General features: G+C 40.7%; 1 long non-coding RNA gene across 2 annotated transcripts in view; it reads right to left on the bottom strand.

The window, feature by feature from the left end:
* Window positions 1-24,887, bottom strand: part of LOC107986419 (uncharacterized) — a 43,621-nt gene extending 18,734 nt beyond the window's left edge. The window contains exons 1-2 of one of the 2 annotated variants that reach the window (XR_001742681.2): window positions 24,758-24,887; window positions 14,976-15,035 (exon numbers count right to left, since the gene is read on the bottom strand). This is a non-coding gene — a long non-coding RNA (uncharacterized LOC107986419). The remainder of the gene's footprint in view (window positions 1-14,975; window positions 15,036-24,757) is intronic. The other variant, XR_001742682.2, reaches the window with a different exon arrangement.
* Between the last annotated feature and the right edge of the window lie 727 nt (window positions 24,888-25,614).

The raw sequence follows: 25,614 nt of genomic DNA, 5'->3' as shown, positions 1-25,614 counted from the left end.
ATTGTACTTTTACTACATTGAAAGTAATGGCGGGTGTTGTGGCTCACACCTGTAATCCCAACACTTTGGGAGGCTAAGGTGAGAGAATCACCTGGGGTCAGGAGTTTGAGACCAGCCTGGCCAACATGGCGAAACCCCGTCTCTAATAAAAATACACAATTAGCCATGGTGGTGCATATCTGTAATCCCAGCTACTCGGGAAGCTGAGGCAGGAGAATCACCTGAGCCTGGGAGGCAGAGGTTGCAGTAAGCCGAGACTGCACCACTGCAGTCCAGCCTGGGTGACACAGTGAGACTCCGTCTCAAAAAAAATAACCAAACAAACAAAAAACAAACAAACAAACGAACAATGACAACAACAAAAAACCTTAATTAATGGCAAAAACTGTGAATACTTTTGCACCAACCTAATAAAAGTACATTGACCTCAGATAATCCAACAAATTTCTCAGTTCTAATAGGCTTTCCTGGTTTAACAGAAGCTTCTCATTACAAAATAATCATCATTAATAAAAACAAGAAAATTGTGCTTCAAACGTCTCTTTCCTTTAATATCTCTTTTCCTACCTTTTATCTGTTCTTACCTTTCATCCTCTTGTAATAGTGCAATTTTCTTCTTGTTTCAAAAAATTTTTATAAGTAATGAAATAGGCTTATATGTTGCAGTTAGAGCTAAATACACAAGGCAGAATATGTAGTTTAAAGATATTTACAGCTTACCAGCCAGAACCACATGTAATAGGCAAAAGCCTTCATAAAATAAGTATGAATGTAAAATAGTTAGCTTTGATTTCTGTTTATCATGTAGAAAAATTATAGGCCATTCCTTTGGCAGTAATAGTACTAACAGAAAGAAAATGGAAGGAAGGAAGAAAGAAAGGAAGGGAGGGAGAGAGGGTAGGAGGAAGAGAAAGAAAAAAGAAAGGAAAAAGGAAAGAAAGGAAGGAAGGAAGAATGTTTTTATAAGATGTATGCTCACACAATCTAAACAAATTCTTAAAGAAACATGACCACCTAGGTGCAAATTAATTACTTTCTTAAACTTCAGTCATTTTTAACCACTGTTTTACCAACCTTATTTTTTCTATTTTGATTTAAAGAAAATGTTATTCCCACACGGTGCTTCAAAGAGCAGGAAATTGTCTCACAATAATCTCCTTTAAACTTGCTGCTCATACACATCAAAAGGGTTTAACTATTTGTGCCCCAAAAGGATCTAGACTGCTTCCAAGCTGTGGGAGAGTAACCTACATTCTACTAGGGAAAATGTAACTTGTATTTGCCTATACTGTATGTTTCCTTTCCAAATTGGAAGTTTCTAAATAAGAAAACAAGGGGGAAAAAGCAGGATGATCAAGATGTCAATGACACTTTCCATAGCCTGTAAAAACTCCATGATGGTTTCTTTCTAACTAGAAAAGATTTCGCAGGAAGAAGCACTCCTTTTTGTAAACTCTCCTCTTTCTACAGCATTGAAGCCCAATTTTGTATAAAAATTAATTTGTATTGAATTTCTAAGCTCCTAGTTGTTCTTAAAACTGCTTCTCAAAGAAGCTTAGATCTTTTCCTGAGTGTTTAAAAATAGATTTGAACAGAAGTTTTAATAAAAAGCCAGTGTGGAGAAAAGCCAGTATTATCACAGAGCCCATTTTTGCAGGTGAACGTGAGAGTATGTCAGAGTCAAGAATTACCAATGGTTCTAAAATCCAACTACAAGAATGCTCCTATCTAATTACACATGCCACTCATGTCACTGGTTTTGACCTATCCTCTGTCTCCGATCCCGGACAATTGATGTACAAGGTTCATTGATGTTTCACGCTTTGGTTACCTGTTTTTCCAAGCATTTTCAAAAATAAACATTCCATATATGTGCTAAACTCTTCCTCAGTCTTGTGTTTTATCAGAAAAATAAACTTTAAATGCTTTTTGGCCAAGATAAAATATATTTGGTTCGATTTTGTGCCAGACATTTTTTTCTTAAGTTTGGAAGATCTTAGTGGACTTCTACTTATGGAATGTAGTGTCTTGGAGGGTGTGTGTGTGTGCGCACATGTGTGCGTGTGTGTGTTGTTTTTTAAGTAAACATTGAAACATGTAAGTGTTATTTTAGGTAGATGTTTAAGAAAATTTCCCTCTCACAAATGGACGTATGGGTGAGAATTTCATAGTCTTCGTGCTTCAATGGTCCAAGTTTCCAAGCGCTCAAGGATTGCACCCCCGGGAAGCCCCAAAATTTTCCCTTAAGAGAGACTGCTCCAGCGATTTCTAATGTCCTCACTGATCTTCCTTTAACAGTGAATCAACGCGTATTTCATCTGGTATCGAAGGGGACCATCTCTTTCTCCTCCATACTCAAGTACCTCACCCATGTCAACAACAGAAAAGAATGTTGTCTGTCTGTGAGAATATAGCTCATTTGAATTGGGTGTTCTGTTAGCTTTTTGTGGTAAGAGAAAAGCATTTCAACAATTCTCTACGCTTATGCTGGAAAATGCGTCTCATCCCTGGTCTGTTATCTTCTTTTTGCATAGAGTGAGGTAAAGAAATGATTTATCTTCTCAACTGTATGCTCAGCATTGTCTCGGTTAACTTCCCTTCCAGGCTCTCCATGGGAGTTGAAAATTTATATTTCCTTGCTTTTGTTTGCTGATTGTATAAAGGATTCTTATCTTCCTGTTTCAAGTTAAGTCTCACAAGCTAGGATTTCCTTTCATTAGTAACACTTTGTCCCCTAAACATTTTTTCGCTTTTCCTTGCATTTGTTGATACTCCATTTTACTTATTTCGTTTCTTTCTTTTATCATGTGTATTTTAAGAAGGCATGGCTTTTCGGCCCTATCCACTGCCTTTTTTTCTTTTTCTATTTCCTTGGAAGAGCAAACTATTGTTTCTCTCCCTTTCTCTTTCTGTTTCTTTCTCCCCTGTCTTTCTTTCATTGCTATTTAAAATGACGCCAAAGCTGAAGTCCAATACTCATCCCAAGGGCCCCGATTTTTTTGTTTCTAAAAGCACTACCAATCAGGACTTAACATTCGTACTGAATAGCTATTCTCAAATTAGAATCTTCTCTTGTCACCCACCTAGCTCAGTTGTCCTTTGGGGTGTAAGCTTAGCTCTGTTCAGATGAAATAGAATATATGCCAGGGAGAACAAAAGAACAAAGACTCCCTCATTCTCTGGGTTCCCACCTATGTAACCATTAGCAAAAAAGGACTCAGCACAACACCCCAGGTCTAGGACTCAGGTGTTTCATACCAAGATGCATGTGTGCGTGTGTGTGTGGGGGGGGGGCGCGGGGGGGTGGAATAGATAATTTCTGTAAGAACAAAGAAAAATTGATGAATGTCATGGACAAAAGAAATAACATTGCAAGTTAAATTCAATTTTAGTAAAACACAGCAGAAGTTATATTTGCAAGATATTTTCCAAGTTGCAGTTGATGGCTCATATTTTTAAAACAATATTTAATATAATAAAATTCCAAGTCAATAGCGGAATTGGAATAGTGCTTTGGAATTTGTACAGTTAACTAAGTACAAATTTGGCTTGTAGTAGTTAATTTAGTTGGTGTTTTAAAGTTTTTCCCTTAAATAATACCTTAAAAAAATTTCAACTGATTCAAACATTACCCTACTAGAGAACTGGCCGCAGTAGAAGAAAAATTTGTTGCCCTGAAACGTCTGGGACATTGTCTTATGAAATTATTTGTAGTATACAATAATGAGAAAAGGTCAAAAAAAGGCTACCTAAAAAAGAGCATTTTTAAAGTACAGCAAAGGCTTACCTGACTTCCCCTCGTTTCAGAATTTCTAGCTTTCATGATTTTGTTGGATGTTTTCTATGCATACGCTGTTAAGGCCTCATACCACAATCCAAATGTACCTTCAAAAGACAACAGGCACACCAGATGACCTCTCCCCCACCCCAGAATCCTCCCTGCAGGCACTTCAGTTCAGCTTCTCAAATGCTTCAAAGTGACAGAGAAAGTACACAAGTGGCCTTCAGACATGTCCTATATCTAACATGGCCATGAAATTCATCAACGAATTCAGGCTAGTCTTCAGGATCATGTTGACATCTATCTCAATATAATTTCAAGGAGATGTCTTTACCATTTATTTAGTCATGTCTTATCAGTGTTTGACTTTTTTTCTTTTTTTTTTTTTTTTGCAGCATATAAAGTAAACCATTCTTTTTCAAAGTATGGCCTGCAGACCAGTAGCATGGGTATTACCTGGGAGTATGCTAGAAATGCAGAGTTGTAAGCCCCACCCCAGACCTACTGAACCCGCCTTTAAGATCTCCAAGTGATGCACATCAAAGTTTGAGAAGCACTGAGAGTCTCCTTACAACTTACACTGCTGTGAACATCTTCATGCACATGTATTTCCCCTGCTTGGGGATGGTTTCGTTGTATTCCATTCCCAGAAATGAGATTATGAGTTCTGAGAATTTGCAGATGTGTATGCTTGCCAGAATTTCAGAAGGGAACTTCAAGAGCCAGAGGGGTGGGTGTGGCCAAAGGCTATATAACCTGAGGATTAGTTCAGTTAGTGCCCCCTGGAGGGAGGGAATTATAATTGATCTGTTGGGGCCCTCTGCCTTTAAACGTCTTGTAATTTGAAGAGCAAGCCTCATATTCTCATCTGGAGGCAGGGCCAGAGAGGAAAATAACTTTCTGTTCCGTCTCCCTGCGCTGTAGACTCACAGAGCTTCTTGCAGTGCCCATCAGATTGCAAAGCTGACAACTCCTAAATATTCCAGATACAGGCCAGAAACCTCCTTAAATTACATGTCTAGAGAATTCATTCCTGACTTTCTCTGAGTCATGAAGAAAAGAAATGCTGCTTTCAGGGGCCTTTAGATTCACCTTCCAAGCCACAGTAATTCTAGCTTTGTTCTGGCATCTATAACCCAAAGGATCACTGTGCTGCTTCCTTGATGGTTCCCTAAGTCTCCTTTCCTCCCCAGGAGCTGCAGATATTTTCTTTCACAGATAATCTCCGCCCTGTGGGGGTCTGTGATTCCAGTGCTTATGCCATACTCCTTGGGTTCCAACATGTTGTCCAGACTTTTCTCTGCTCCCTGCTGCTTTCACAGCTGACCTGCTCTTCTCCTCCAGCATCTCCAGTTTTTCAGCTGGCTTCTCAGTTGCTGGTTTTTTTTGGTGGGGGACAATGCCACATTCTGAAGTTTATGATATGCTTTCTTGATAGTGATATTGTCCAGATCCTCAGTTTGTTTCTTAGTGTTTCTTAAGCCTGCCTGTCAAAGCTGCCACACGTCAGGCCTGCTTATCTGTGTGGATGTCTGGAAGAGAGTCTGGCAACTTTTCCTGTTGGTTTTACCTTCATTCAGGGATGATTGCAAATGGCATCTGGTTGTCTTAAAATTACTGGAATATCAGTATCCATCCTGGCAGACTTGACTAGATCACCTACATGCTTTTACAATTTCTTCTGAACAGATATTCTCCAATTAAGTTGCTCTCTCCTTTCCATCAGTGACAGAGTTTAATGTTATCCCATATAGAAATGGAAGTATGCTTTCTCTCCCCTACTATTCCATATGGGATTCAACCTGTAAGTCGCCCTTTATGTTTAGGTAGACAACTTTTGTGTTTGAGCATGGTACTATAATAAGCACGATTTGGAACAGTTTGTGTAAGTGTGTGTGTGTGTGTGTGTGTGACAGAGAGAGAGAAAGAGAGACAGAGAGAGAGAGAGACAGAGACAGAGAGACAGAGACAGAGAGAGAGAGACTAGCTGACCTTTACCTATAGTTCATTTTGCTCTGAGATAGGTAAAGTGGAGTAACTTGTCTCCAAAATGGCAGCCATCAAGTCCTTCCCTTCTTGTATTCCTTCTCCCATCGAGGGTAGAATTTATGCCTCTACTTCTTTGAGTCTGGGCTGGTCTGTGAATACCATGATAAATAGAATATAGAAGCTTGTAGCTTCTTCATGGCTCTCTTGGAATTTTGGCTCCGGGAAAATCCAGCCACAATATAAGAAATCAGACTTCCCTGAGACCACCATGCTGTGAAGAAGCCCACCATGGTCACATGGATAAGCCACATGAACAAAAATATGAGCAATAAGCCCTCAGCCATCCCAGCCCACATGCCAGACATACAAGTGAAGAAATCTTTAAAGACTCCAGCCTCTGCCTCCATCCAACTGCAATTATATGAAGGACCTCAGAAAAGAACCACCCAGCTGAGCCCTTAAGCCCCCAGAACCATGAAATATAATATTTTATTTTATTTTGAGATGGAGTCTTGCTCTGTTGTCCAGTTTGGAGTGCAGTGGTGCGATCTCAGCTCACTGCAACCTCCACCTCCCAGGTTCAAGCAATTCTCCTGGCTCAGCCTCCCGTGTAGCTGGGACTACAGGTGCTGGACACCACACATGGCTAATTTTTGTATTTTTAGTAGAGACGGGGTTTTAACATGTTGGTCAGGCTGGTCTCGAACTCCCGGCCTTAGGTGATCCGCCTGCCTCAGCCTCCCAAAGTGCTAGGATTACAGGCATGAGCCACTGTGCCCAGCTGAAATATAATATTAAATTATTGCTGTAAACCATTAACTTTTGGGTATGGTTTGGTGTACATCAATAGATAACTGGAATACCAAATATCTATTTTTTGTAAGAAAACCTTTCAGATCCAAGGTAGTAAAGCAATGGCATCTGTGACTGTGTGACAGGGTTGGAAGTTCTGCTTCTACTTGGCTTTAATAGATATGGCATGCTAAATTACTCTAGAAAGGGTAAAGTAGCTACTTTAATTTGCTATCCAGATGTGGCTTGGATGCGCTATTCTCCAGAGCTGGGTGATGGTGGACATCAGTTCAGTGCTAATAGATTAGCTATGTTCTAGTAATTTATTCTTGGAGAGTCTGACATTATTAACACTGACTGAGTATGAAAATAGGCAATAGTCATAGAAAGTTAGAGGAGGAAGGGGTCTTGTAGAGGAAATCACCTAGTCCAGCTACCTATACATATTTTTTTAGATAAGCAGAAGTGCCCAGAGGTAAAGTGTCTTGCCCAGATCACAGAGCTGTTTCGTGGCAATGCCAGGAAAAAAATGCAGGTCTCCTGGACTAGGCACAGCTCCTTCACCATGCCACTCTGCTTCTTGGACACTAAGGAAACCCTGAGGAAATTCGTATGCAATCTGGTTTTATTCTCCCTTTCATTTATTGTCTGTCCTATATACTATTGATCTGTACAATGGGACAAATACCTACCTCTTATGATTACTAGGAGCATTAAAGGAGATAGCTTATGGAAATATTTGGCACTTGCTATGTACTCAATAAATGGTAAGTACCTTCTTTAAGAGCCTAGTAAAACAAATTATTTGGAAAACCATCTCAAGGGCCTTTAAATTGAAAGAATTTCCCTACAAACAATACCCTAGGTATGAGAAATTCATCACTGGGGAGGACTACAGAGGATAATTCAACATGCATCCAAGTTCTAACCCAGACAAGTAGACATTTAAACGACCTGTGAGAAAAGAAAGGAGCGGGTTGTGGATAATTAGCACGAGCGCATGGAATAACTCACCATCCTGCAAAGGGAAACAGACAGGGCTGAGTCAGCTCTGGACGTGAGAATTAGAAGACAGCAGGCCGGGATGTCTGGAGTTCCTTCTGTCAACTTTTTATAAAAATAAGTACCTCTAGCTGTCTGTCTGCTGAGGAGACGATCCATCACCCAGTCTGTGAAAGTAGCTTTCCTTGAGCCCATCTCTCCAGACTTCTGTTGTGGTTACACGTCTCACTGTGGTTATCCCCATGTCTGCTTCTCTGTCTCCCTTGTATCATATGTGCTGTGTGTGTAAAACTCTTTATGTGGAGTCTGGAAATGGTTTTTAATACATTCAGAGTAACAAGCCATAACCTCCACCTTTAATACCTGCTTCTGCCATTTCTCATCACCGGGGCTGCAAGCACATATGGGAAGCATCCGCCCGTGAAGGCTCGGGGCCCCACCGTGCATGGAGAAGCAGATGGGGAGAAAAGGGAGCTATTGTACTGAACACCTGTTCAGCCATCAGGACCAAAAAACTGAAGTGTTCTAGAGGCCACGTGGTACAACGGACAGAGCCCCAGTTGTGGACATGCTAAACAAGAGACGCCACAGGTGTAACTATCATGATGATTTTAAGTGATGAGCAGAAAAATAATTTTCACTAGTTTTCTGCTCACCAAATGGTAAGGTGAAGTTGTTTCAGGGCTGTTGGGAGACGCCCTTGGAATTAGATTGATAAGTTCAAATTCCAGGTCTGCTGCTGGTGGCTTCATGATTTGTGGTAAACTATTTAACTCTCAGCTACACTTTCCTCACGTGGAAAATGAGGGTGATAATAATGCCTATTTTACAGGCAAGTTGTAGAGAAGATGACACGGGAATGGTGTGAGTAAAGTGCCTATCACCACCCGTGAGTATTGCAGATGCTCCATTAATTATAACCATTATTATATTGGCAATGACTTTCAAACTAAAAGAGAAAATGCTGTGGAATGAATAAAATTAGTTTACTCATTTGGACCAATTCTTCAGCCTCCCCACACCTATTAAATGAGGATTGCTTTGTCTGACACACTCTCAGATCTTGTGAATCTTAACATTAGCTCTAGCTGAGCTCCCTTTTCCCTGCAACATCAAGATGTCTCACTCCAGAAGATGTGAGGGACTTCAGAATTTTAGTCTGAGGGTCAGGATTGGTCTGAATCTGTTTATAAGACAAATGCAGAGCTTTTTGTACTTGGTGGAAAATTGTTTCAGCTCTTCCTCAAAGGGGCACATTATAAACAGCTGCTACTATTGTTTGTCCTTTAAAAATGTTATTGTTCTGTATAAAGAATAAAAAGGAACTTCTAGTCCTATGTGCTTTGCTAACAGTTTTGTAATGAGTATAATAGTGAATTGTGTTTATAGACTTGACTAATAATAAAAAAAAGAGAAACAACTGTTTCTTAAGTGCCTGCTATGTGCTAGACACTTCACAATCCTCCTCTGAGGTAGGTATGGCCATTTCCATTGTACAACGGAGAAATCTGAGGCAGGAGGTTAGGTATCTCACAGAAATCCCAGCTGGTGATTGGTGGAGTTGGTGTTTGAATGCACATCTGTCTGAGGCCTTGCTCTGTCCAGTCTACTTGACTTCCACCAGGCTCAGCTCCATTTGCTTGACTTTAATGAGGACCCAGTAGAAACTCAGCCTCACGGTTTTCTCAGGCCGCTTAGATCCTGCAAACTGTCCTTGCTCTCTCTCATCTTCTGAGTGTCCCTGCTGCTTCCACCCTGGCTCCAGATGATAGAAACTCTCTGTGCATATGTCAGTTATTACAAGATGCTGTGTGTGAAACTTTTAATCAAGTATTTCAATGCCACATCTGGAAACAATAATCCAGATGTTATAAACCACTTTGGCCAGCGGTTGCCAGACTGCTGTCCAGGTGATGAGTGCAGGACACCCCCTCTTCACATGTGGAAGATGATCTGGAGGGACTGAGAGCTGGGAAATTTTTAACTACTGTGCTGCCTCCCTCCCTGAAAAAGACATTAGAGACCTGAATCACACAGCTCCCAGACCGAGGGTGTCCTGGCCTCAGAAGAATGTCCAAGCTGAAGAATAATTGGCCCATTTTCTTCACAATCCCTAGAGTTGTACTGGAAACAGTGGTTGGGGTTGGACTGTGCACCTGCAACGCTATGGGCACTGTCCCCAACAGCCTGAATTCGGAGTTTATTTATAGGTTGCTTTCTTCCCCCTCCCAAGCCTCTATGGAGAAAGCTCTGAATCCCAGAGCAGCTGGAATCAAATAAAGGGATACCATGGAAAATAAAGGGATGGGGCAGGGCTTCTGCCATAAGGTCCAGATTTTGTGAGAATTATGACACCATCCAGAAGTGGTAGGGCTCCTGTGAACCACACAACTCCATTATAAGACAAAAATGACACAGGTAACTGATTCCTAATCAAATTTATGGTTTGCTCCATATTGCCCAGGCTTTTGGTTTTGAGCCCAGTGTTCATTGTTGCTATTAATTGCCAGTGGAGGCCAGCCTACTAATAGGGAAGCAACATGGCATCATGTAAAAAGGCTTAAAAAGTATGGGTGTGCAATTTAAACTATCTGCATCCAAATCCATTTCCTTCAACCTGTGTGACCTGGGATAAGTTAACCTTAATGGAGACTAAGCTTTCTCCTTTAAAAAAAAAAAGCGATGAAAATATCGCCCGGGCACAGTGGCTCACGCCTGTAATCCCAGCATTTTGGGAAGCTGAGGCAGGCGGATCACTTGAGGTCAGGAGTTCGAGACCAGCCTGGCCAACACAGTGAAACCCTGTCTCTACTAAAAATACAAAAATTAGCCAGGCGTGGTGGCAGGTGCCTGTAATCCCAGCTACTTGGGAGGCTGAGGCATGAGAATCACTTGAACCCAGGAGGCGGAGGTTGTTGTGAGCTGAGATTGTGCTACCACACTCCAGCCTGGGCGACAGAACAAGACTCCATCTCGAAATAAATAAATAAATAAATAAAAAATATCAAACTTCATAGAGGATTGTGAGGCTCTAAAGAGATGACGGATGTAATACACTTAGCACAATATAAGTGCTCAATGAACATCATTGTGGTGGTGGTAGCTGCTGATAAAAATTTGTTTTAAGAAAGCCTGATGTCTTCCTGTTAGCTAGAAGACCACTTCTCCACTTGGGGAATAGAAGGTGCTAGGTGTCACTAAACTGTTGGTGATTTCCACCAGAGAAGGGAAAGACCAACGGGGAAGGGCTGAGAGCTGTCTGATGCTGTTCACATGCACTCTAGCAGACTCCACTTATAATCTGGCCCAACCAGCTTGATTGAAAAAGCCAGCCTCTCCACAGGAATTTCACACATGCAAATGAGAATTTTGATGGTCCTTGTAAAATAACCTCTAGTTTAGTCTGAACAGTCCCTGCCATTTGAGAGCCAAAGTCCCCAAGATGGGCCAAATTCACTGCACAATTGCTCTAGTCTGAACCCAGCCTCAGAGACCACAGAGGTAACAGTTTTCAATCTTCTAGTCCCAAGGATGCTCCCAGCATTGCTGCTGAATAAGCCAGCCCTTTGGTTACTTCAGTGCAGAGTGAGCCAGACAACCGTTAGTCCTAGGAAACAAAAGTCAACCCACATTAGCACCCACCTTTTAATACTGTATTTTCAAGCAAAAATGTCAATGTAATCTTTAAGAATGAGAATTTTTTGGTTTATCAAGAAAGTAGCACCCTTTTAAGGTATACTCATTTGTAGATTTTTCTTGATACTTTCAAGATTTTGGCTCTCCTTTATATGCCTGTAATTATTTACTTACCTCCTTGAGAAGGATTTTTTTAAGGTTTTCAGGAGAGTGAAATAGTTGAGCTCTTGGAAATATTTAAGTATAGTTCTACTTTGTTTTATCCAGTACATCTGGATTATTTTAGCCCTAGGCAAAGATCCATTAGCATCACACAAAACTATGTTGTCTTCAAACTATATTTTTGACTAAAATTTTCACCTTAAAGAAAATGATGTTTATACTGTTTAACACAGAAAAGACTCATTCATACTCTGACTTCTTGGATGATCTCTTTGTATTTCCTTTCTGTCTTCCTCTCCCTCAAATGTGGGCCTGTCCCAAAGGTCTATGCTTGGTCTTCTTCCCTAATCTCTCCTCACTGCAGAGATTTTAGTCATCCATATTGTTTGACCTGTCACTTCTATTTAGGTGCTGTCTAAAGAGTAATGCTCAGAAAAAGAAGTGAATGATCCCTACTTCAAAAGCATTGAGCTTGGGGAGCCCACAGGATGTCCAAATAGAAAAGTCCAACAGAAACATTTCCCCCAGTGCACACAAAGACACTGTTAAGTAAAAGCTTTATTCAGGTTTCTCTTGCCTGTAATCATGCCTTGAAAAAGCTCCTATTTTAATAAATCATGGGCCATATCTGTTTGACAGAGAAGCTGATGAAGCAGGTCTATTTTTCTTACGTCGTTTCTTTCTTTCTTTCTTTTTTTCTTTTTTGGCCCTTGGGGTCTCTCATTTCTTGCTTCTGTTTATCCAAGTTTTATTTACAGTATCCTAATAAATCTCTACGTTGCAGGATCATATGGACATGTAGACAGTTTCAGGGGTTACCCAGGAGCACTGTAATGTTAGGAAGCAGATGGCAATGCTTTACTGTTGAGGACACAGGGACCTCACTGCATGATACTGAAGTCAAGTTTCTCTCACTTGACTTAAGGAAAGAGATTCAAATGGAGGACAAGAGGGAGTCTTATATAGATCCTGTCCAAACCACCACTGGGCTAGGAGCAGCAGAAAATGTCCATGCTATCCCTTCCTCAGCTGGGTAATGACACATAGAAAGCTACTTACTTCCACAATAAAAGCGCATGTAAAAATTCTAATATTCAAATGCCCCTAAGTATCACCTGCCTACAGCTGTCAATGAGGTCACATCAGTATCAGTTCCTTAACCCCCTTCTCAAAGCTTAGCTATATTATTTCCAGGTGTCCCCAAGACTGTCCAGCCTGGGTTAACATTTTGATGTCATTCCATATGAACGTACATTTGATGCATATTGCTTTGTCATCTTCTTTTTCACTTGTAGTTTACTATGAACTTTCTCCAATGAGTTAGATATTTTTTCCATAACATGATTGTTTATGTTTATATCACATGGATAATTTGTTTAAACAGTCTTCTATTGTTGTACCTTTATTTCCAATAAAAAATAACTTTGTGGTGAATGTCTTTGCTTATACAGCTTTGCATACATCTCAAATTATTGGCCTGAAATAAATCCTTGGGCATGAAATTGCTTGGCCATAGGTTATGCTAATTATAAGAAGTAAATTCTATTATTGTAAATAAGTAATGATAAGGATATCAAATACTACTAAATATGGGTTAATGGGTGGCAGTTCCTCTGGAGAGAGCTTTTAAAAACAAAAAGATACTTACGGCTTTTTAAAAAAATGCATCTTAAGGAACAAAAACCATACCAAATTTATCAATACAATGGAATAATTTTGAATTTTGAAACTGCTCTATAATCTGACATTTTTGCTTCCTAAAATTTAAATTAGATACAGTATTCATATGTAGGAATTGTAAGCATCTATTTAAAGAACATTAATATATAAATTATTAGTGATATTCATCACCAATAAATCATGCAAGTATGAACAGGCATTCTGCACTTTATTTGAAAGCTCAGTACTTGAAGTTTCTTCATTCTCTACTAGAGAGATTTTTAAGTTTTAGTGGTCTATAAAGGATTAAGTGGAATGTATGACTTGTATCCTTCGCTAGATTTTAAGAGAAAGGAGTTGTCACCAATATATTTTGACCAAATACCTTATTAAAGACACAACGAAGAATGGAGCTTGGAAGCAACGGTAGCCCAGACGCCTCTAACAGCTCCATCATTCTGTACTTTAATAACTCATTGGCAACATTATGAAGTAGTTTATGTTCCAGACTTTGCCTCCTGGTATCTAGATTTTTATAGGTGTTTTGATTGAGGTATAGAGGAGGCATTTTTTGGCTGCTGATTTCTATTCCAGATTGTGGGATGTGAATAATTTGGTAAATTAACATCAATGGGTTAGACTGTTCTTTGTTACCAAAGGCCCCTGGGCTGCCCATTCCACTGGATGGTCACATTAATTTGCAACCACAGGAGGATGGCTGCTGGGCACATACGCCCACATTGAATTTCCTTTTGCAGGTTTTCTCCCTATTTTGAATATTCAGGTAGCCACTAAAGTCTGAGGCAGCTCTCTCTTGTGCATTCATAATTCTGGCTAAACCTAGGGCTTCCAAAACTAATATCAGGGAGGAAAGATCCAAACCTTAGTGCTTTTGTGGCTTTTTTTTTTTCCTGGGGCCAATTTTCGGCTATGTTTCCAATGATCAGTCTGTACTCCTAGTTATATACTAAATACATAAACTGTGTGTGCTACAAATGATGTTTTTCTAGCCTGTCCGTATAGCCTATTAAACCAGAGTTGGCAGTTTTCCATCCCTTAGGAGAAGCATTTGGCATAAATAATATTGTCATTTGGGAAGGCTAGACATGGTTTGAAGAAGTGACCTTGTATAAATATTGTCTGAGGTATGACTGAGGCTAAATTATATGACAGAGAGCTAGTATAGTCTGGGCTCTGGGCCCTCCTGGTAATGAAGTTGCTTCTTGTAGTAATGGAACCATCTGAATTGAAAATGTAATCAAATACATCAGAGGCTGTTAAAAGCACAAGAACCAGCTTATTTATGAGCCCCCAGGGTCCAGAGGATGAGAAAACGGTGCTGGAATTTCTTTGTTGTTCAAATGGCTTTGTCTTTTTAAAAGACAAGATGTCCTAGAAAGTGCCTTTTGTCCTTGCCACAGAACTTCCCTCAGTGTTGAGACTGCTGGTCAGGCCAAGAGTTTGTTGATTTCCCCGCCCACGTGTGGGGTGAGAAGCTGGCACAGAGCAGAGTCTTGGGTATTGCTGGGCTATTTGTGGTTGACCTGGTAATATCAGTAGCACAATACAGTCCCCCCAAAGACAGTTACTTTCCATTCCCTCTCTTAACACCCTAGTTTAGGATTTCATTTCCTCTTTCTTGGACTGTGTTGTTCTACCAGCCTCCTAATTATTCAGAATTCCTTCCCTTCACTTTCTCTTCCTTCTACTGATTTGCTAGATTTGTCTTTCAAAAGCATGATTTTCATCAATCCATCTATGTATCCATTTGTTCCACAATTATTTGTTGAATGCCAACTGTGTGTCAAGCACTTTGCTACCTGCTATAATAAATAAAATTTATAGTCTAGTGAGGAAACAGATGTTTGACAAATAATCACACTACTGGACATACAATTATAAGCAATTATAATCTTGCTTCTTGCCTACAGAAGACTCTTTTTTAATAACTCACCTCCTTCTTCAGCACCTTCTTCAACCCCTTCTTCGGCACCCTCCTTCTCAGCCAACTCTGCTGAGGGGGAAGGGGAAAGTATTAAAGGTTCTAGCACATCAAAGTTCCAGAGGGTGTTGCAGACCAGTTGAAGCTGGTAACTGGGAAGTGCTAATTATAAAATTATATATTAGGTATTAGCATTGGGGAAATTGTACAGGAGTTTATAAAGAAGACAGAGGAGTTGCCTGAAGCTGGGGAGTCTATGCCCTTGCCCAGAGAAGGGGCGAATTATTGAAAAAGAGTGTACTGTAGGAAAGAAGCAAGATTCTTTGGTGGTGTGAAACAAAGGAATCTCATCTAGACTGAGGAGTCAGGAGAGGCTCCACCAAGGCAATGATAATTAAGTTGCAGTGTGAAGCATGCACAGGTCTCAACTTGGCAGAAAAGGGGCTGGGGAGGATAGACAGGGTGGGTGGGTGGAGTGCTTTCCAATCAGAGGAAAGGCTGCAGCTGGGGGAAGTATGACGCCATTCGAGGAATGAAGAGACCATCAGCATGGCTGGAAGTACAGAGAGTGAGGGCCACACCGGGAAGGTTACGTAGCTCATGTTAAGAATTGAGGTCTATATTCTCAATTAACCATTAAAATGAGCCATTAAAGAGTGTTTAAGCAGGGCTGTGATTTGACCAGGTTTGCATTTTGAAAAGACAACTTGGGCTGCAGTGAAGAGGACCAATTAGCAGGGGCCAAAGAGATCAGATAGGAGGATAACGGCGAAGCTGGGTGTCAGCAGTGGAAATGAGAAGTAGACAGGTTTGAGTATTATTTATGTGGAGGAAAAAACCACAAGGTTTGATGATGGATTGAACATGAGGAATAGGGCAGAGGTAATCATCAAGGAGAATTGCAAGACTCCAATTTGTGCAACTGGATTGGTTGCACATTTACTAAGCAGGGGAATACTGAAAAAAGGAACTAAATTTTGGGAGAAAATAATGAGCAAAGCCTTGAAGCAAAAGCATGCTTGGTGTTTTCAAGGAAGAGCTAGGGGAGCATAGTAGCTGTTAAAGTCACAGAGGCATGATTGCAGAAGGAGGCAGAGTCTGTCTTGTAGGAGGACAAGCCCAAAATCAAGAGACCAGTTGGGTGACAATAATCCAGATTACCATTAATTACCATAATCCAGATAGAAGATGGTAGTGGTGGCTTAGATCAAGGTGGTGGCTGAGAAGGTGGTGAGAAGTGGCTAGGTCCTGGATAGATTCTGAATATAGAACCGGCAGCACTTTCTGATGAATTGGTTGTAGTGAGAATGAAAGAGAGGAATAGGATGACACCAAGCCTTTTGGTTTGAGCTACTGGAAAGATGGATTGCCATTTACTAAACTGTAGAAGACTTCTGGAAATTCTGTGGTTTTATTTTTTTATTTTAATTTTATTTATTTTTTTTTTTTGAGACAGAATCTCTCTGTGTTGCCCAGGCTGGAGTGCAGTGGTGTGATCTCAGCTCACAGCAACCTCTGCCTCCCAGGTTCAAGCTATTCTCATGCCTCAGCCTCCCAAGTGGCTGGGATTACAGGCATGTGCCACCACACCCGGCTAATTTTTGTATTTTTAGTAGAGACAGCATTTCTCCATGTTGGTCAGGCTGGTCTTGAACGCCTGACCTCAGGTGATCCACCGCGTTGGCCTCCCAAAGTGCTGGGATTACAGGCGTGAGCCACCTTACCCAGCCAGGGGTTTGATTTTGAATTATGTTTGAGGCCTTTTTTCGATAAGCAAGTGGAAAGATTGAGTAGGCTGTTGGATATATGGACTAAAGCTCAGAGGAGAGATCCAGAAAAAAATGTATAAATTTGGGTATCTTTGGGGATTAGACAGAAGGTACTCCAACCCATGAGAAAGGATGAGTTCACCAAGGGAGTAAGGATAATTAGAGAAGAGGAACAAATGTTTAGGAGCTAAGCATAAAGAATATAATTCTAATCAATAATGTTCAAGGTTATCATCACTAGTAATAAGACCTATCAACAGCATTTACCCCGATATGATGCATTGAGAAGGGCACACCTTCATGTCTGTGGTAATTTTGCTAAAAAATACCATATAATATCCATTTAACCACGATAAAATATCAGACAAGTCCAAATGTAGGCATGTTATACAAAATAACTGAACAGTACTCTTTAAAAGAGTCAAGGTCGGCTGGGCGTGGTGGCTCACGCTTGTAATCCCAGCATTTTGGGAGGCTGAGGCGGGTGGATCACTTGAGGTCAGGAGTTTGAGACCAGCCTGACCAACATAGTGAAACCCCATCTCTACTAAAAACACAAAAATTAGCCAGGCATGGTGGCACGTGCCTGTAATCCCAGCTACTCAGGAGGCTGAGGCAGGAGAATTGCTTGAACCCAGGAGGTGGAGGTTGCAGTGAGCAGAGATCATGCCACTGCTCTCCAGCCTGAGTGACAGAGTGAGACTCTGTCTCAAAAAAAAAAAAAAAAAAAAGAGTTAAGATCATGAAAAATAATTAATGACTGAGAAATGATTACAGATTGAAGGAAATTAAAAAGCTGTGACAATTAAATGCAACATGGGAACCCAGATTGGATACTATTAAAACAGAAAAAAGATATTAGTGGAAAAACTGTTGAAATTTGAATAAAGACTGTAGTGTAGTTAATAGTATTGTACCAGTGTTATTTTCCTGGTTTTGATCATTGTACTATGGTTACATAAGATGTTAACAAGGGAAGATAGTTTAAGGAAATGGAGGAATGTTCTGTTTCATTTTTCCAACTTGTCTGTAAGTCTTAAATTATTCCAACAGAAAAAGTTAAAGAAAATTAAGTTTATGGCTTTTCGGTCCGTACCCTAAGGATGTGGCTGCCCTCATGTCTGGTCTTTCTAGGTAAGCAGAGAGATGCTGGAGAAGGAGATAGGGCCACCCTATAGGGTCTAACTGTGCGAAAGGCTTTGAACTTTCCTTTGAGATCCAGTGAAGGGGTAGGCAGGGTAAGTGGGGGAAGAAGAGAAACCAGACATGTTTGTTTTCGGCAAAAAGAGACAAAAAAACAGAATAAATACTGTGTTAGGCCTGGATTCAGGCAAACACCCAGTTACTTTCAATTATTCATCCTGTTCTCCAAACAGAATTGACCATGAGTGACTTCATGACTCACAAGGGTGTTAGCATATTGTAACGTCTGGCTGGGAAGATTGCTCAAATCCCAAAGGATTTGACTCGAGGAGCCTTGCAGCATTCTGCTTTTTCCTGCCACGCCTACAGCTCAGGCACAGTTGTAGAGTGGATTTGAAGTTTATATGCCTGAAAGGTAGGTTGTATGTGCATTATATCTGACCTTCCCTGTTTGGAATGATTCCAGAACAAAGAATGCAGCTGGATTGAGATACCAACCGGCAGTGAGTGAGGATATGCCTGGAATAGACCTAATAGGAATGAGGAGAGAGACTCCCACAGCCAACTCTGTGGAGGGAGGACAGGGGAGCATTACAGGTTCCATCACACTGAAGTTCCAGAGGGTGTTGCAGACCAGTTGGAGATGGTGACTGGGGCGTGCTAATTATAAAATTATGTATTAAATATTAGCATTGGGGAAATTGCAAAAGAGGTTTCTAAAGAAGACAGAGGAGTCCCTGAAGCTAGGGAATCTATGCCCCTGACCAGAGAAGAGGTGAATTACTGAAAAAGATACACCCTTTAACCTCCCTACTGTCCCATGGGGAACAGGTCAATAATCAGGGAGAGGCTCTTAATCCCTGGAGGCCAGGGTATGATCACCTCCCTACCTCTAACCTACCTCATTGCCTGACCTGGCAGGAAACTGTGCACGTCCACCCTCTGTTCTCAGAAACTCTGAAATCTTGCAGTCCAATACCCTAAGGCTCTAATGCTACAAAATGCTACTATTAATGGTAGCTGTCAGTTTCTAAATGCTTACCTCATACTAGGCTCTTTATATAACTGTTTCTAATTCATTCAACAACTCTTCAAAGTAGTCATTATCATCCTTATGTTTTACAGAAGATTTTATTGGTGAGGAAATAAATGTTTAGCTTTTCTGAGATCACACAACTAGTGAGTGGCTAAGCCAAGATTTGAACCCAGATCTGATTTCCTATTGAGTCACAGAACTTTCCAATGAACATGTTGCCTCTCCTATCTCCAGTGAACCCCAGGGTCCAGGAGGAAGTACACCTTGGGGAAACATTAGCCACTCTGGGAATGCTGTGACTGTGGGCACAGAGCAGCCTTCCAGGAGTAACCCCAGCTACTCAGAAGGCTGCTCTGTGCGCACGGCCATTTCTTGAAACCTGTGTGAAATTTCAAGAAATTTCACTGGGGTTGGAAAATTAGCAGCCTGTGTCTCCTCAGGCCAGATTCGGTGGCCTGGTGCTGCTACAGGCAGTCAACGGTAACTGAGGTCTGTGGAGTGTGAGGGGGAAGGGCATGAAGTCACGAGGGGCACACCTGGGCTCCTGATGGTGGAAAATCACAAGGATGTTTTGTCAGCGTTTGCCTGCAGCTACATTTCTGGCTGAAATTTTGGATGGCTTTACCAAGCCTCAAAGGCAGAAAGAAAAAATCATGTTGAGAGAGACAGGCGCTTTGACGGGAAACAAGGTCTGGGTGCTAGCTGGCTCTTTGCCATGAACTTAACACATGAAGAGGAGCAGAGAAGCTTCCTTGTTACCATCAGACTGTCATCAAATTGCCCTGGGCATCCTACAGAGAGAAAGGTAGCCAGGCCTCCAACCTGAACAAACCCTTTGATGCAGCATTACAGAGGAGTGCAGGACCACAAAAGACTGTGTAACGACCTACCACATTGATAAAATAGATCCACTATGAACTATTTTCCTAATGAGGCAAGAGCATTTCATGTGTTGGAGACATTTTTAAAAGCCAGCATTTCCTAGAAAAAGTGAGTGAGAAAAAAAGAAAAGTCAACTTCACACCGTGTTGTGAAGAGGGAGTAAAGTCTGAACTCCAAAGCACCATTTATAAGATCAGCCCCTGCCTTTTCCTTGTTCTATCTCCCATTGTTCTCCTCTGCAACCTTTGTTCCATCCACACTGTTCTCCTGCTGTTGTGCTGTTGCATATCTGTCCTCTCTCCCAGCATAGCCCCTGCCTCATTCCTCTCCCTGCTCCCATCAGCTGAGTAGCTCCTACTTGTCTTTCACAACCGAGGTCAGTACCTCTCCCCTGGAAGGTCTTCCCTGCCGACCTGAGCTTAGGCAGGAGCCATCCCATGTGCACCCAGTGGATTCTTCTGTCAAACCCTTACCATTCTGCTTATTTAGCTCCTCAAAAGCAGGGACTGAATTTTATTATCATTCTCTAGCTCTTAATGTCCTAGGCTTCAGGGATACTTGGTGAACAAGAAAGTCAGGCCATCTGGCTGTGAACTAGACATCTCTACATGGATGTCTCACTGGCTCCTCATACTAAATTAACCTGTGCCTTTACCTGGCATCTTTATCATTCAACCTTATCAACCATCTTTGACTCTTTTCTCTCTCCCCCACCTCCTTTATTTAATCATCCACTAAATCCTGTGTATTTAAATAACAATCAGACTTAGAGCTTAATATGCTTTAGGCATTATGAAAAGTCCTATATAGGTATATGTTAACTCATTTCAGCCTCACAACAACCCAAAAGGTGGAGTCTCTCATAGTATACAGATGAGGAAATTGAAGCAAAAGAAGGTGAGTAATTTGCCTGAAGTCACACAGCTTAAAAGCGATGGAGCTAGGATTGGAACCCAGGCAGTCTGGATTCAAAGCCCTACCTCCTAAATATTTCTCAGTCCCACAGGCCGCCGTTACCTCATTCCTCCTGCAATCCATTCCCCATAATGTAACCAGAGCAATTTTTCCAAATAAACTCTCCTTAAAAACTTCCACTGCTCCCTAACATACTCTAAACAGAATTCCAATAACTTTAGACACTGATAAGCCCTTTTCCTGTCTGCTCTTGCCCACCTTCCAGCCTTGACTCTTGCGACCCTTCCTCTCAAAGCCTGAGCTGTTCTGCAGTTGGTTTCTGTGTGTGAAACATTGTAGACTCATTCTCCCTGCTAGCCTTCAGCCTCATCTTAGATGTGACTTACATCAGGAAGCCCTCTGTATGAGTCTGTTCTCACACTGCTATAAATAACTACCTGAGACTGGGTATTTATGAAGAAAGAGGTTTAATTGACTCACAATTCCACAGACTGTACAGGAAGCATGGCTGAAAGGCCTCAGGAAACACAAAATCATGGCAGAGCTCAAGTGCCTAGAGTGCAGCAAGGCTGTGCAGGGCAGCATGGCCACAGGCCTGGCCCATGAAACCTTTCAGTCCTCCTAGGCCTCCGGGCCGGTGATGGGAGGGGCTGCCACACAAAGATCTCTGAAATGCCTTGGAGGCCTCTTCTCCATTGTCTTGGCTATCAGCACTTGGCTCCTTTTCACTTATGCAAATTTCTGCAGCCTGCTTGAATTTCTCTCCTGAAAATGGGCTTTTCTTTTCTACCACATGGCCAGGCTGCAAATTTCCCAAAGTTTTATGCTCTGTTTTCCCTTTGAATATAAGTTCTAGGCTGACTGTGATGGTTCATGCCTGTTATCCCAGCACTTTGGGAGGCCGAGGCGAGTGTATCACTTGAGGTCAGGAGTTTGAGTTAGTCAGCCTGACCAACATGGTGAAACCCCATCTCTACTAAAAATACAAAAATTAGCCAGGTGTGATGGCAGGCACCTGTAATCCCAGCTACTCAGGAGGCTGAGACAGGAGAACCACTTGAACCTGGGAGGTGGAGGTTGCAATGAGCAGAGATTGTTCCACTGCACTGCAGTCTGGGCAAGAGTGAGACTCTTTCTCAAAAAAAAATATATATAAATATAAATATAAGCTCCAAATTTAGGTCATTTTTTTTGCTCACGTAATATGTTGTTAGTAGCAGCCAGGCTACATCTTGAATGCTTTACTGCTTAGAAATTTCTTCTACCAGATATCCTAAATCATCATGTTCAAGTTCAAAGTTCCACAGATCCCTAAGGCAGGAGCACAATGCAGCCAAGTTCTTTGCTAGGATATGATAGAAGTGACTTTTGCTCCAGTTCCCAATACATTTTTCATTTCCACCTGAGACCTTCTCAGCCTGGACTTCACTGTCTACATTTCTATCAGCATTTTGGTCACAAACATTTAGCAAGTTTCTAGGATGTTCCAAACTTTTTCATCTTCCTGTCTTCTTCTAAGTTTTTACAGTCTTCCAAACTCTGCCTGTTACCTAATCTCAAAGCTGCTTCCCTTCCACATTTTCAGGTATCTTTATAGCTCTACCCCACTTCTGAGACAAAATCTCTGTTTTAGTCAGTTCTTGCTGTGCTATAAAAAAATACCTGAGACTGGATAATTTATAAAGAGAAGAAATTTAATTGACTCACAGTTCCACAGGCTATAGAGGAAGCATGATTCTGACATTTGCTTGGCTTCTGAGGAGGCCTCAGGAAACTTACAGTCATGGTGGAAGGCAAAGGGAATTGAGGCATCTCACATGGTGGGAGCGGGAGCAAGAAAGAAGGGGGCAGTGCTACACACTTTCAAAAAATCAGATCTCATGAGAATTCACTCACTATCATGAGAACGGCATCAAGGAAATGGTGCTAAACCATTCATGTGAAACCACCCCATGATCCAATCATTCCCCAACTAGGTCCCACCTCCAACATTGGGGATTACAATTGAAAATGAGATTTAGGAGGGGACACAGATACAAAGTATATTAGCCATTCTTCAGACCCCATTGGTGGCAGCAGTGGACTGAGTAAGCTTATCTTTGTGTTCTAGGGTGGTATATGCTGGTGTATGTTGGTAGTTATCAGTAGGCCAATTTTTGGGCCTCCAGATAGCTTTCATGGATGCTGGTAGTGACCACAGTGGGCTGGGAAGGTGAACAGTTTCTTGGGACCCTCTACCATCATGAAAACACATGAAAATATAAAATTTACTGGTAAAGCAATCACACAAAACAGGAAGGGAAAGGACTCAAATTGTATCACTACCGAAATTCACCTAACCACAAAAACAATCAATAAAACAAATGGAGAAGAACAAAGAATATATAAAACAACCAGAAAACAATGAATAATATTACAGAAACATGAATTAAAATTTCCACTGAAAACATGTTGAATGAATGAGATCATGTCCTTTACAGGAACATGGATGGAGCTAGAGGCCATTATCCTTAGCAAACTAGCACAGGAGCAGAAAACAAAATACTGCATGTTTTCACTTATAAGTGGGAGCTAAATGATGAGAACACATGGACACATAGAGGGGAACAACAAACACTGCAGCCTACTGGAGGAGGTAGGGTGGAAGGAGGGAGGGATCAGGAAAAATAACTAATGGGAACTAGACTTAATACCTGGGTGATGAAATAATCTGTACAACAAACACCTGTGACATGAGTTTACCTATATAACAAATATGCACACATAGCCCTTAAATTAAAAGTTATAGAACACAAACAAAAACATGTAGAATGGCTAAATGAAAAATTTTTTTAAAACCCACATGATCTAATTATATGCTGCTTACAAGTAACTCACCTTACTAGTAAAGACACAATTAGAGTGAAAGTAAAGAAATGAAAAAAAAAATTCCGTGTAAACAGAAACCAAAAAGGACCAGGAATAGCTACACTTATATCAGATAAACAGACTTTATATCAATAACAGTAAAAAAAAAAAAAAAAAAAAGAAAGACAAAGAAGGTCATTATATCATGATAAATTAAAGGGATCAATCCAGCAAGAGGATACAATTCTAAACATATATGCACCCAACACCAGAGCACCCAGATTCATAAAGCAAATATTGCTAGATCTAAATAGGGAGATTGACTGCGATGCAATAATAGTGGGGAACTTCTACAGTATATCGCACTCTCAGCATTAGATTGATCATAAACAGAAAATCAACAAAGAAACATTGGATTTAAACTGCATTTTAGACCAAAATGAACCTAACAGACATTTACAGAAATTTCTATCCAACAACTGCAGAATATACATTCTTTTCATCAGCACATAGAACATTCTCCAAGATACACCATATGTTAGGCCACAAAGCAAGTCTCAACAATTTTTAAATATCAAAATCATATCAAATATCTCCTCAGATCATAATGGAGTAGAACTAGAAATCAATACCAAGAGGAGCTTTGGAAACTATACAAATACATGGAAATTAAACAACATACTACTGAATGACCACTGATTCAACAAAGAAATTAAGATGAAAATCAAAAAAGGTCTTAAAATGACTGAAAATGGAAACAACACACAAAAACCTGTGGGTTACAAAAACAGTGCTAAGAGGGAAGTTTATAGCAATAAATGCCTACATCAGAAAAGGAGAAAGATTACAAATTAACAGTCTAACAATGCACCTCAAGCAGCCAGAAAAGCAAGAACAAACCCAACCCCAAATTAGCAGAAGAAAAGAAATAATAAAGATCAGAGCAGAGCTAAATGAAATAGGGACTAATAAAACAATACATAAGATCAATGAAACAAAAATTGGTTCTTTGAAAATATAAACAAAATTGATACACCATAGCTAGATAACCAAGAAAGCAAAAGACATAAGCAAAACCACAAATGAAAAAGGAAACATTACAACTGATATCACAGAAACACAAAAGATCATCAGAAACTGTTAGGCACAACTACAAGCTGACAAAGTAGAAAACCTAGCAGAAATGCATAAATATAACCTACCAAGATTGAGTCAGGAAGGAATAGAAAACTGGAACAAAACAATAACTAGTAGCAAGTTTGAAGTGATAATAAAAAGTCTCCCAGAAAGAAAAGTCCAGGACTGGATGGATTCACAGCTGAATTCTACCAAATGTACAAAGAAGTACTAATACTTATCCTCCTGGAACCATTCCAGAGGAGGGAATGTTCCCTAACTCATTCTATGTGGCCAACAGCAGCCTAATACCAAAACCACACAAGGACAAAACAGAAAAGAAAACCACAGGCCAATATCCACAATGAACACAAAAACAAAAATCCTCACCAAAACACTAACAAACCAAATGTAGCAGCACATCGAAAAGATAATAGAGTACAATCAAGTGAGATTTATAATAGGGATGCAAGGGATGGTTCAACATATGCAAATCAACAAACATGATACATCACATCAACAGAATCAAGAAAAAACACTGTGTGATCATAGAAGCAGAAAAATCATTTGATAAAATTCAATAGAAGCAGAAAAGTTATTTGATAGAATTCAACATTTCTTCATAATGAAAACTCTGAACAAACTAGGAATAGAAGAAACATACCTCAAAATAATAAAGGACATATATGACAAACTCACAGCTAATGTCTTTATGAATGGAGAAGAGGTGAAAACCTTTCCTTTAGGAACTGAGGCTGGGCACGGTGGCTCATGCCTGTAATCCCAGCACTTTGGGAGGCTGAGGAGGGTGGATCACAACGTCAGGAGTTTGAGACCAGCCTGACCAACATGGTAAATCCCATCTCTACTAAAAATACAAAATTATCTGTGTGTGGTGGTACATGCCTGTAATCCCAGCTACTCGGGAGGCTGAAGTGGGAGA

Source organism: Homo sapiens, chromosome 5 (assembly GCF_000001405.40).
Source record: "Homo sapiens chromosome 5, GRCh38.p14 Primary Assembly".
Lineage (NCBI taxonomy): Eukaryota > Metazoa > Chordata > Mammalia > Primates > Hominidae > Homo > Homo sapiens.
This window is presented reverse-complemented; position numbering and strand designations above follow the sequence as displayed.